At 42.4% G+C, this 12,663-nt stretch overlaps 3 pseudogenes across 2 annotated transcripts in view; all 3 read left to right on the top strand.

The window, feature by feature from the left end:
- Positions 1–12,663, top strand: part of AOX3P-AOX2P (AOX3P-AOX2P readthrough, transcribed pseudogene) — a 99,193-nt pseudogene that overhangs the window by 68,116 nt on the left and 18,414 nt on the right. For both annotated transcript variants that reach the window (NR_135011.1, NR_135012.1), the window contains 6 exons: positions 763–991; positions 4,596–4,691; positions 6,732–6,852; positions 9,162–9,236; positions 10,040–10,092; positions 12,020–12,134. The product of NR_135011.1 is annotated as an AOX3P-AOX2P readthrough, transcribed pseudogene, transcript variant B (transcript). The remainder of the gene's footprint in view (positions 1–762; positions 992–4,595; positions 4,692–6,731; positions 6,853–9,161; positions 9,237–10,039; positions 10,093–12,019; positions 12,135–12,663) is intronic.
- Positions 1–12,663, top strand: part of AOX2P (aldehyde oxidase 2, pseudogene) — a 52,998-nt pseudogene that overhangs the window by 25,200 nt on the left and 15,135 nt on the right.
- On the top strand, positions 11,746–11,912 carry RNU1-133P (RNA, U1 small nuclear 133, pseudogene; annotated as a pseudogene).

Below are 12,663 nucleotides of genomic sequence, written 5' to 3' on the forward strand. Positions count from 1 at the left end.
CTAGGCAAATCTCAGCAGGCTCTCCTTTGTCAAGTGTTGCAAGTTTCCAGGACATATAACATAAAACACACCTTATTCAAATAAGCCGTTTTTTTTTTTCTTTCTTTCTTTTAGAGATGAGGTCTCACTACGTTGCCCAGGCTGGTCTTGAACTCCTGAGCTTAAGTGATCCTCCTGCCTCGGTCTCCCAAAGTGCTAGGATTACAGGTGTCAGCCACCACACGAGGCCCAAAGAAACTGCTTAAAAGATTTACCCATACATTCCAAAGGCAATTAAAAGACTTAGAGGGGATCTGCTATTATTTGCAATGCTATTCCTCCCTGGCAGGACAAATCTTCAGTTATGACAATGAATCCTTGCTTTAGTGTACTGCCCACCAGCTCTGCTCCATCCTCTGAACCTTGTAGAATAAAAAGAAAAGAAAAATCTACCTCCCTAGGCCCCTACATCCCACTGCCTTTCATGGAATAGTCTCCACCTGCTACCTTCCACTTCTAGTAAGGAGAGACCCTAACTGGTGCATTGATGAAGAGGTAAAAATAACCTCTACTATTTTTGCAAAAGCATGTACCATTCAAAGAAAAAACAGACCCTGTCTTCCCTTCTCTACAGCTTGTGCTTTCGTGGAGAGGTTTTTCAAGTCTCTATTTGGCCATCAGTTTCTGCCTTACCATAACTACTGAATTTCCCACCTGTTTCAGATTAGAGAGAAAAATATGTACAAAACATATCTACAGATATGTAGATAAACATATCTACAGATATGTAGATAAACATATCTACAGATATGTAGATAAAACCATCTACAAACAAGCATTCAACCCTGAGACCCTGATAAGATGTTGGAATGAGTGTCTAGACAAGTCTTCCTTTCACAGCAGAAGAATGCAAGTCGAAGAGTTCAATAAGAAGAATTATTGGAAGAAGAAAGGCATTGCTATTATTCCCATGAAGTTTTCAGTTGGCTTTGCTGCAACAAGCTACCATCAGGTAAGACTTGCATATAGGATAAATAACCTTCATGCTAGACACACTCCTGGCCCAATCAGCTTTTGTGGACTTTGAAAAATATCTCATTTCTTAGAGCATTGAGCTCCTCCCTGCCAACACCTAAGAGAAATATACAGAACTGTCCAGAGCAGCACCCCTATCTGCAAGCATTTTTAATACAGTGCAGTATTTGTTTCCTTCTTGGGAAACAAATCCCTAATCAACTGAAGTCAGGAAGACCTGAGAAATCCTCGGCTCTGTATTGACCAGCTGTGCAACATTAAATTATTCAACATCTCTGAGCCTCAGCTTTCCCAGTGATAATAACAATAATAGTAATAACAATAACTCTGTCTTAAGATTGATGAGGACTCAGTAAGATAGTGAATGTAGAGCAGCACTTGGCTGGGTTCCTGGAACACTGTGGATGTCATCCAGAGCATCACTAGGCCCCTCCCAGGACAGCTCAGACACACCTCTCAGGGCTCCTCCTCCTCTGGTGGGTAGGATGAGACCCCCTGAACCTCTGGGTCACATGTTCAGGCCCAGCATGCCCCTTCTATAAACAGGCACAAGAAGGTTAACTGTCATGTCTGCAAGCTAGATGCAATCAAAGGCTGTGACATCAGAGAAACTTGAGAGCTGCCTGTGTGGTTTCCTCTCTGATGCCAAATATTGTCTTTTCCAAACCAACTCCAACACCAAGTGGGTGTCCAACCATTCTGTTCTCACACTAACTACCAGAGTTAGTGCAGACTCCACAGATCAAGGGCTGAGTCCCACAAGACCGCCCCTATTTCAGACACCAGCTTCAAATGGAGGGCCCTAGCTACTCACACTCCTGCCTGGCCGACTACTAATTTGGAGGTTTTCACTACCCCCATTCAGGTTTGATAATTTGCTAGAATGACTCATGGAACTCAGGAAAGCACTTTACTTATGATTATTACCAGTTTACTGTGAAGGATATGACTCAGGAACAGCCAGATGGAAGAGCTGCCTGGGGCAAGGGATGGGAAGGGGACAGAGCTTCCCTGACCTCTCCAGGCACACACCCTCCCAGCACCTCCACATGTTCACCAACCCAGGAGCCCCCAGACTGCATCATTTGGGGTTTTTATGGAGGTTCCACTATACAGGCATGATTGATTACAGCATTGGCCATTAATGATTGAACTCAATCTCTAGCCCCCCTCCCAAGAAGATGGGGAGGAGGACTGAAAGACCAATGCACACCGCCTCCAAGCCCCCATCCTAAAGCTACCTAAGCCCTCCTCATGAGTCGTCTCATTAGGAGAATAAAACAGTAAATTCCAAGGCTTTACGAACTCTGAACCAAGAACCAGGGGCAAAGATCAAATATTTACTTTTTATTATAACACACTTCCCTTCACCTGTACGGCCACACCGCATCTAAACCACAGCCTACGCTCTACCATCATCCATGGGAACAAACATCTCATCTCATCACAAAGAAAACCTTCAAATCAAGCAATGATTTTAAGTCTCCATTTGAATATCCTCCAGCTGCTCCACAGAGTTCTAAATTGAGGCACCCTAGAATCACCTGGCTAGGAATAGAAGGGTGTTATTCCAGGTCAGCTGATGACTCACAAAGCTGGAACACCTACCCTCTAAATTGGCAGTGAGAGCTCTGTCCTCAGTGGGAGTCAAAAGACCCATGGTGAGTAAATCCTATTATTAGCAGCTACAAGCCTTGATGCTCCCAAGCCCCTCTGAGCCAACCCTGGGCCTCCAGGCATCTCGAGACACAAATGGGCTGAAGCCTTCGTTCCTCCTTCTCCTGGAAAGAAAAAAATACCACCTTTCCCTTTGTCCAGTTTATCAAACATTGATGTAGTGTCCCTGTGATTTTTTTTTTTTTTTTTTAGACAGAGTTTTGCTCTTGTCACCCAGGCTGGAGGCTGGAGTACAATGGCACAATTTCTGCTCACTGTAACCTCCGCCTCCCAGGTTCAAGCAATTCTCCTGCCTCAGGCTCCCAAGTAGCTGGGATTACAGGCACCTGCCACCACGCCTGGCTAATTTTTGCTTTTTTAGTAGAGTCGGGGTTTCACCATGTTGGTCAGGCTGGTCTTGAACTCCTGACCCCAGCTGATCCACCCGCCTTGGCCTCCCAAAGTGCTGGGATTACAGGCATGAGCTACCACTCAAGGCCAGGACCTGCTCAGAGGTATTTACGGGACACAAAGATGAGTTAAGACCAGGTGTCTCTCCATGGCAACACTCAGAGAAGAGCCTCTTACCTCCAGGATTCCTTACCTGTGGCTGCTCTTACAAAGTACCACAAACTGGGTGATTCAAAAACAACAAATTTATTCTCTCACAATTCTGGAGGCCTGAAGTTCAAACTCAAGGGGTCAGCAGGGCCGTGCTGCCTCTGAAGGCTTCAGGGAAGGATCTTCCCTTGCTTTTCCAGCTTCTGGTGGCTCCTGGTATTACCTGGCTTGTGGCAACATAACTCCAGTCGCTGCTGCCTCCATCTTCCATGGCCCTCTTACAAGGACACCAGTCATTGAGTTTAGGGCCCGCACAATCCAGTATGATTTTATCTTAAGTAGTTGCATCTGCAAAGACTACATAAAGTTCCATGTTGAGGTTTCAGACAGACATGAATTTTAGGGGGCAGGGGAGGGACATTCTTCAACCCAGTATTCCTGTAAGGAGAAGTACAAAGAAGGAGGTGATTGATCCTTCCCAGATGGGGATGAGTACAGGCGTGAGTCGCCGCATCCAGCCAAGTGAGGAAGTTTTAACAGAACATAGACTGCAGGGCGTGGCCCTGCAGGCTGTGCAGACAGGTAAGGAACAGGAGGAGAAGCCGGCCAGGACAAGAGATTGGACAGAAGCAAGGAGCACAGGCCAGAAAGGAGCTGCAGTGGGGCCAGACTCAGAGGCAAGGCAGGGGGCGACAGGGACTGTACAAGAGACCAAATCCGACAGGACCTCCTAGTGGAATAAGGAGCCGAGCTTTCCCTTACAGGCTGTGGGGGGTTTGCCCACCTTGCCCATGGCAAAGCCTTCTTCGGTCTGTGATTCTGTTCTGTTGTCACTTGTCATCCCTGAGCAGCACAGGAGTTGCACCTGTCCTCCCAGGTCTCCCAGGGCCCCCTATGCCACTCTCATTATCTCACTGATCATCCTACACTACAGTGACTTGATCTCCAGCCTGCCTTTCCACCACATTGTGAGCAGCTTGAAGAAGAGCCATGTCTTGTTCATCTTTATGTATCTGGAGCTGAGCACACTTGGTACACACTATGTGCAAGTACCTAAAACATTTAAATAACTAGCTTAATGGTCAGCCAGTGATTTTAAGCATGAGAGTGACTTTCAAACAATTGGAACCAACGCTCTCAACTCCTGAGGTATCCAAAGGGGCTCCTATGAAAACCAGGAGGAATGTTCTTTACAAGCGACTTTTTGCACAAAACAGAACTAAGCTTCAGCATCCCACCAGGAAAGTTTGCTTCTCTGACCCCCTCCACTCCCTAAGACTGGTGTTTCACTACCTTGTGTTTTATATTGAACCTCACCAAATGCTAACTTGCACTGAGCTATGCCTTCCGGATTCTTTTACTAGGCAGCTGCACTGGTTCATATCTACACAGATGGGTCTGTGTTGGTCACACATGGAAGCAATGAACTGGGACAAGGTATTCACACCAAAATGCTACAGGTAAAATAAATAAAATTAAACCATTATTCTCTATATACATTGTTGAAAGTTAGGATTCATCTATTAGGGTAAATGTTGACTCCCTGTATTCAAACACTGAGATCTTGACTATTTAGTTGGACGGCTTCTTACATATCAAATAGAATGTAGAATGGCTGAGGTGGCAGAAATCCCACGTGTATGCAGACAGTCCTGGAGCTTGGCCAGGGTTCATGGATGGGGTGATCATTAGTGAAAACGCCACTAAGAAACCCATGGAGCCCTGTGGTGGGAGATCCAAGCAGGCAACCAGGAGCAGGAGTTTCTCAGCTAGTTTTAATGTTTACATTTTAGACAACAATATTAGGTTGCTAATGTTTTATTTTGACAAGTAAGAACAAGTATTTCATCAACTGCCATCATCCTACAATTTTTATAAGATATTTAACACACATACATACACACCAATTAGTACGAATATAATCTCAGGAGAAAAACAAGAATAATTCTTTAAATAACCCTGTGACAAATGTATTAGATTTCTATAGCGCATTAGATTTCTATAGCGCACATCTGTAGCTTTTGACTATCCAGCCCCTTAGCTCATTTGGAGTACTGTACCTCTCACATGCCATATATTCCTGAAAGACTCCTCAATTTGGGTACCTTTCAGCTCCATCCCCATCCTTACTCCCACGCCTGCTGCAGATATAGGCACAAGACCCGCCTCTGGTCAGTCAGGGTTCCGGAATCCCACTGACTCTGGGAAAGGACACATGATTCAAGCAAGGCCACTCAGAGCCTTTCCTGGGACTGACGTGTAGATGCTGGGAGAAAGGAGCCATCTTTCCCCTGTGGCTGTTTAGGTACTATACTATAGGGCAGGGGCTGCCACAGGCAGTTCTGTGCCATGGATGGAACCGGCCATCATAGAAAGAAAAGCAAATGTGAGAGGCTGAGAGGAGACCCTGACGAGACCACAAAGCCCCTAGATACACATGTACTTCACACTAGCTCCATCTATCCTGCCCAGTTATATGAACCAACAAATTCCCTTTGGATTTTCACCACCCAGAAACAACAAAGTCATCCCTTTTTTTCATTTTGCTTCTTTCTGGAGAAACTTCATATTGAATGACATTAGTCAGAAGATTAGCATTTGAGAACGGGATATCATGAGAAGGTGTTTTTTGCAAACACAAAAAGACAAGAGAAGCCAAAATAATGTTTTTTCCTTTCCCTTTCTTCTTTTTCATCTCTTTCCTTGTCATTTCTTGATTAAATATCTTCATCTCCACATGTGTTTGCTAGAGAAACTGGAAGGAAAAGAGCAGAAAAGAAGCCAGGTGCAGTGGCATGCACCTGTAGTCCCAGCTACTCAGGAGGCTGAAGCAGGAGGATCACTTGAGTCCAGGAGTTCAAGATCAGCCTGGACAACACAGTGAGACCCCATCTCTAAAATAATAATAATAATCTTTTAAAAATTATTTTTAAGAACCAGAAAAAATGAACAGCAAATACTGGAGGAATATAAGCAAGGGAAAACAAATAGAAAACAGAGGGGGAGGATAAGAGCAAGAAAAAGGTCCTCAGGGTCATTCCAAGTTCATCTGATACTGATATCGAAAGATTTCAGACCAAATTCTGAGCCAGTCTCATCTCAGTCTCCCCTCTTTCTCTCTCTCTCTCTCTTCCTCTCTCTCTCTCTCTCCCTCCATCCCTCTTTTTCTTCCTGCCACTGAACCAAATAAGTGCCTGAAAATCTCAATTTGGCCTACTTCCTACACATCTAAAACTTAGAAAAAAGGAAATTCTTAACATTCTAAACGGACTCAATTTGAAAAGAACCACTGTGGAATATTACCAAGAAAACGCTGTAAAAATGAGCATGAGGCCTTACAAAAAAAGTAGTTTTGATGCTTATAAAGTACATTATTTTAGTCTTAAAAGGGTACCATGGATGTAATAACAAATAATTTTTATTAAGAAAAATAATGATTCAAATCTTCATAGAAGTCCTTGCTGGACTTGAAAATATTTATGTTTCTCATAGGTGGCCAGCCATGAGCTAAAAATACCCATGTCCTATATGCACATCTGTGAAACGAGCACAGCAACAGTGCCCAATACAATTGCTACAGCAGCGTCTATCGGTGCAGATGTCAACGGCAGAGCTGTGCAGGTGAGTCTTCCTGTCTCTCCTTGGTGTGCCTCTCCCACATCCCTGGTTTTTATGACTAGATACAGGTACAATAGTTGACTTCAGAGAAGTCATCTGTGTCACTACACATAGTCTGAGGTAATTAAAATGTTGGGAGAGTGTATTTGGAGTAGGCTAAATTGAGATGACAGACCCAAAATGTAAAGGCTCAAACACAGTAAAAGTCCCTTTCTTGTACACATATCAGTCCCGAGCATTGTTTGGTCATTCGAGCACCCAAATTGATGGAGGCTCCACCATCTTCAACATGTGGTGTGCCAAGTTGCCCTGGGTGTCATCATTCCAGTGAGCATGGAGGAGCCGGTGTGGAAGACTCTGAGCCAGATCTGGAAGTGATGCAAGTCATTTCCACACACAGTCCATTAGCAGAACCAGTTTCGGGCTATGTCTAACTGCAACGGAGGTTGGGAAATGTAGAATAGTGGGAAACCGTATGTCCAGCTGCTATGGAAGAAGGAGAGAATGGATTTTGGTGAACAGGCAGTCTCTGTTCCTAGGAGACACAGCAAGAAGAAATTTGGCTACCAAGTAATGCAGAGCTGTGCAAGTTTCCTCCAGCATAAACAAGTGCTTGCAGGCAGATAGGCAGGCAGACCCCAGCCAAGGAGACAGGGTGCAATAGAAGCATTGTCTTCAGTGGTATTCTACCGAGTACTTAGAGCTTTTCTTTGTACTTATTTTTTTAACTGAATTTTTTTAAATTGCTAAATTTTCACTGTCTCAGAATAGAATCATGACTTCATATTCCTTAATTCAAATATCTGATTGCATGTACTTTTGAAATATATCTATTTGTCATGTTTCTGTTGCAAACTGTTCACTTTTCCACTGGGATATTGTGGTGAGCCATATTTTCCCAGAATGCTGCAATGATACCACCAACAGGAACCCCTTTCAAATCAGTCCTAATTTTGTGGTGATACCTCTTAAGGAATCAAAAAGCAAACACTCTTTTTTGCTCAGAACAAATGTGTAAGAAACCTCAAATGCATGAGATCTAATTTGGAGTAGGGTCAAACACAAGAGAGGAACAGCTCAGAGTGTATGGGAGTTGTCAGCCCAAAATAAGTGTCAATCCATCTTCTAGAGTATTAAGTTTTAGGTTTCTGTTAAAGATCAGAAAATTTGTGGTCTAGGTCATTATAAAGTAAATTTAATTGTTTTCTCATTTCATACCCAAAGCCAAGGACTTTGTTGTAGTAGTTTGATGGTGGTCGAATGAACAGATGGAGGGAGAGATCAGACACAGGGGGATTCTGGCATGTCATTGTTACAGACTGGAAAGCACAAATTTTAATGAAAATAGGATGTTTATTCCATTTATTTTAATAGCCATAAAATACAAAAGAAATGGTCGGGTGCAGTGGCTCACGCCGTAATCCCAGCACTTTGGAAGGTCAAGGTGGGCAGATCACGAGGTCAGGAAATCGAGACCATCCTGCCCAACATGGTGAAACCTCGCCTCTACTAAAATACAAAAAATTAGCCAGGCATGGTACTGCGCGCCTGTAGTCCCAGCTACTTGGGAGGCTGAGGCAGGGGAATCACTTGAACCCAGGTTGCAATGAGCTGAGATCGTGCCACTACACTCCAGCCTGGCGACAGAGCAAGACTCCATCTCAAAAAAAAAAAAAAAGAAATATACAAATATACAAAAGATGTAGGAAAAAAATGCTAAAGGCCAGGCACAGTGGCTCATGCCTGTAATCCTAGCACTTTGGGAGGCTGAAGTAGGCAGATGGCTCGAGCTCAGGAGTTCAAGACCATCCTGGTCAACATGGTGAAACTCTATCTCTACAAAGAAGACAAAAATCAGCCAGGCTTGGTGGTGAGTGCCTGGAGTCCCAGTTACTCAAGAGACTGAGGTGGAAAGATTGCTTGAGCCCAGATGTTGAAGTTGCAGTGAGCCAAGATGGTGCCACTGCACTCCAGCCTGGTTGACAGAGTGAGACCCTGTCTCAAAAAAACAAACCAAAAGAAAAGAGAGAGAGAGAGAGAAGTTAAGAACCTGAATATTCTAAGAAAGAGGTTCTGAGAGTAGAAATTCAGCTGAACCCATATTTTCACAGGAAGTGAGCCAAGAAGGGGAAAAAATAACCTCCAGTAACTGATACTGTTATCAAGGGCAGGAGTTGTGTTACCGATTTTTCAGGATCACGCACTCCATAGCACTTGCTGACCTAATCAGTGAACATTTGTTCACACAAATGGTAACCACCAGAACCACTGGGCTCTTCTCTAATGTGGATTCCATTCTTTACTACTTCAAGAATGCTTGTCAGATCCTTCTGAAACGCCTTGAGCCCATCATTAAGAAACATCCGGAAGGTAAATGGGAAGACTGGGTAAGTGTTCCACTCCCTTTGAAATGAGAAAACAATGTAAACCAGTACTCAGACAGCACCACAGCATGCACAGCCATCACACACAGAGACAGTTCCTCTAAGTGTCACAGTGATGGAGCATGCCCCCTGTTTCTTCCCCAGTTGAATGGATTTCTGCAAATAGGCAGGATCTCTAAAGGTTGAGAAGGCTACTCCAGGATGTATACCAGGTGTGTATGGAGAAAGCACACAGGAAACAGCAATCACTAGAAGGAGAAATAGAAGTGTATGAAGAATACACTCTGCTCAAGTAAGAAATAAGAGGAAAAGAATGAGCCTTCCTAAGCCACACACACACACATACACACACACACATGCAAGCACGATGTTTTGGGTAGGTTAGGAGGAAAACTAAAAGGCCTATTTGCTCTTGAATATGGCTCAAAGGAGATGACTAAGTTAATCCAACTTTACAATATCCTGTGACTTTTTTCATTGGAGCAATTATTTCACATTTACACACACGCTTACTGTAAAGTTCTAACATTTAGAAATGAAGTCCAAATACCTTGTGCACTGAGTCCCTATCTCATGGATGTGCAGCAGGATTCTATTTTATGTTTGTTCAATCCAGACTTCTAAACTCAATCAGAAGGAAATTGTTAGTGTGCCAATTAAGGAAAAATAATATGATGACGAGTTCTATTATTGGTAGCAAAGCACCAGCAACAATTATGAGATGTCAATTTTAGATTGGACATTTCTGTTTTCACCTAGCAGATGGTATATTTGTTTCGCTTTAACTAAATATGCCCATTCTGCAGATAGAAGCTGCATTTGAACAAAGAATCAGTCTCTCAGCCACTGGATACTTCAGGTAAACATCACAATAATATCTTGACGTAGCTAAGAAAATAAGAGGTAACTCAATCACTGTTGATGGCTGTTGTAATACTTTGGTTCTTGTCGTCTTAGTTTAAAAGAATTTAAACAAGAGACACAGCAAAGCAAAACAACAACAACAACAAAAAGAGACACACAGCAAAAGATGTGCAGCATAGAGTAATTTATTGCAAAAAAAAAAAAAGAATATTTTGAAAATGAGGTGCAGAGTAGACAGTACACCCTGAGAGAGAATTCAGGGCAGGCTGTCCGTAAGGATGAGACAGCAAAAACTGGTATTGCGGACGCTCCCTTTATGGGGATCTTACATGATTATTCATATTGGTGGGAAGAGGTGTTACTAGTAAGCACGTTCTGGATGGTCTTCTGGGTGCACATGTGCAGCTGTACATGCGTGTTCATACATCACATGTCTCATTAGTATCTTAAATCTCCACCCAGAGGTGTGTTTTTTACTATTAAAATAATTTGATTTTACCTGAGGACAGGTAAAATCAAAGTGTGCATGCCCTCTACAGGGGAAATTCCCTACTGAAGATAACTTTGTTTGAATGAGTGCGATTACAATGGAAATGCTGAAGCTTTCGTGTTGATTGTGCCGTCACCACAGTGCTGGTGCTGCGTCCAGAGAACGTGGTCACTTTCTTGACTATCTATGCTGCCTCAACTCTGGGCCGCAGGTCCCTCATTTGTAAAATACATTTTTATTGTATGATTGCTGAGGTCCCTTCTAGGCCCAAAATTCTATGATTTCACATAGGCCTTTCAGTTATGTCCAAAAAAAAAATTAAACAATAAAACACCCTTATTGGGGAAAAAAATTAGATGCTTGACTTACAACAGCTAATCCTTATAATCATTATTTACTATTTATTTAATCATTACTTACAATATCTAATCATTATTTACTATTCTTTATCATGAATAGTAAAAATATATTATCATTAGAAATGACTTGCATCTCAATTTTACAAATCTCCCTCCTTTTACCATAAAACCTGTCTATTTTGAAGCTCCGTACTAGACAAGGGAGAATGGGTGGATGATAATCACCAGTCATTGTCAAATTCAAAAAGCATGTGACATTAGTTTTACAGTCTAATGAAACAAACCACCAAACAATAGATACACACACACACACACACACAGAGAACAGTAAAGCAAATCCTCATGAAGAATGAGGAAATAAGGAGGTAACAGCCCAGCCTAGAGCCTTGTACCTAATGAGTTCTAAATTCCTAAGTTCAGTTACCTAAGAAGAGAGCAAACCAGCCCTCTATCTGAATATATCTTCTATTATAAATTAATGCATTGAATTACCAGTCCTTTTTTACCAACCCTGAATTACCATCAGCTCCCTGTGAGTTTGGTTAGCACTATCCATGGGGTCCCTTTGGGAAGAGTGGTCCCAGGGGGACTACTGATAAAATTCAACTGAGGTTCTCAGTGGGCAGGCAGGCTAAAGCTCAAATCCTTTGTGGTCAAGATACAGGCACACTGTGAGGTCCGGTCCCAAACAATCTATTGGCTTCTCCCTCTTTTTGACATCCTAACTGTGGCACAAGGAATGTCCTCTTTAAATGAGTTTAAAAGGCAATTGAAATGAACATAAATCAAATGAAATGCTGTACTTACCTGGCAGGGGAGATACTGTGATTCTGAAGGTGGTTTTCCTAGAGTGAGGCTTATCTTACCTATTTTACTCCAGAAATGCTGACCCCTGTGATTTCCCCAAATGTAGGAAACTCAACTGCATAATTTATGATAATGGGAGACTGTATTTGTGCCCTCCCTGGCAAAAAAAGAAAACGAAACACTACCATAAAACCTTGGTAACTTTTAAAATAAATCAACATTCTATCTCCCCAGCTCAAGCTAAAAGGCTTTATTTCTTCCGTCAGGGGCTACAAGGCCTTCATGGACTGGGAGAAGGGGGTGGGGGACCCATTTCCTTACTATGTCTGCAGAGCTGCCTGTTCTGAGGTTGAAATTGACTGCCTGACAGGTGCTCACAAGGTAAGTCAAGTCTAACTTTCCTCTTGGCAAATCAAAACAACAAAAGTGTGTTGTATAGTAAATAGCCCAATTCCATTATGTAATTCTCTTATAACAAGAACAAGATTCTTTCAATTCCATGGGAGGGTCCAGAGATCTAGCCTTATCCTGAATTTCCACTTAAAAAGACAATATAGTAGTCAAAAATGAATTGCTGATGACAGTCTAAAATGTATTAAATTTCTTATTTCATTTAGACAACAAAATCACTTTCCAAGATTTCTCCCCCAAAAAAGCTTCTATTTATAAAGAAAAAACACATTTTCTAATCTGAAGGAATAACTAACTTAGTAAATAGTCTTGAGCAAACATTTTGAAAGCACATAGCAATGTGCTGTTTCTCCAAAGTCAATTATCCAAAAAGTATTACTGGAACAGATTTTGGGGGAAGAGAGGTATTAAAATAATTGTTACATTTTCTATTTAATTGAACAGCCAAGAAACCACACATTGGAGACAGGGAATCATACTTAACCCAAAATTAACAACT

This window comes from Homo sapiens, chromosome 2 (assembly GCF_000001405.40).
Source record: "Homo sapiens chromosome 2, GRCh38.p14 Primary Assembly".
Taxonomy (NCBI): Eukaryota; Metazoa; Chordata; class Mammalia; order Primates; family Hominidae; genus Homo; species Homo sapiens.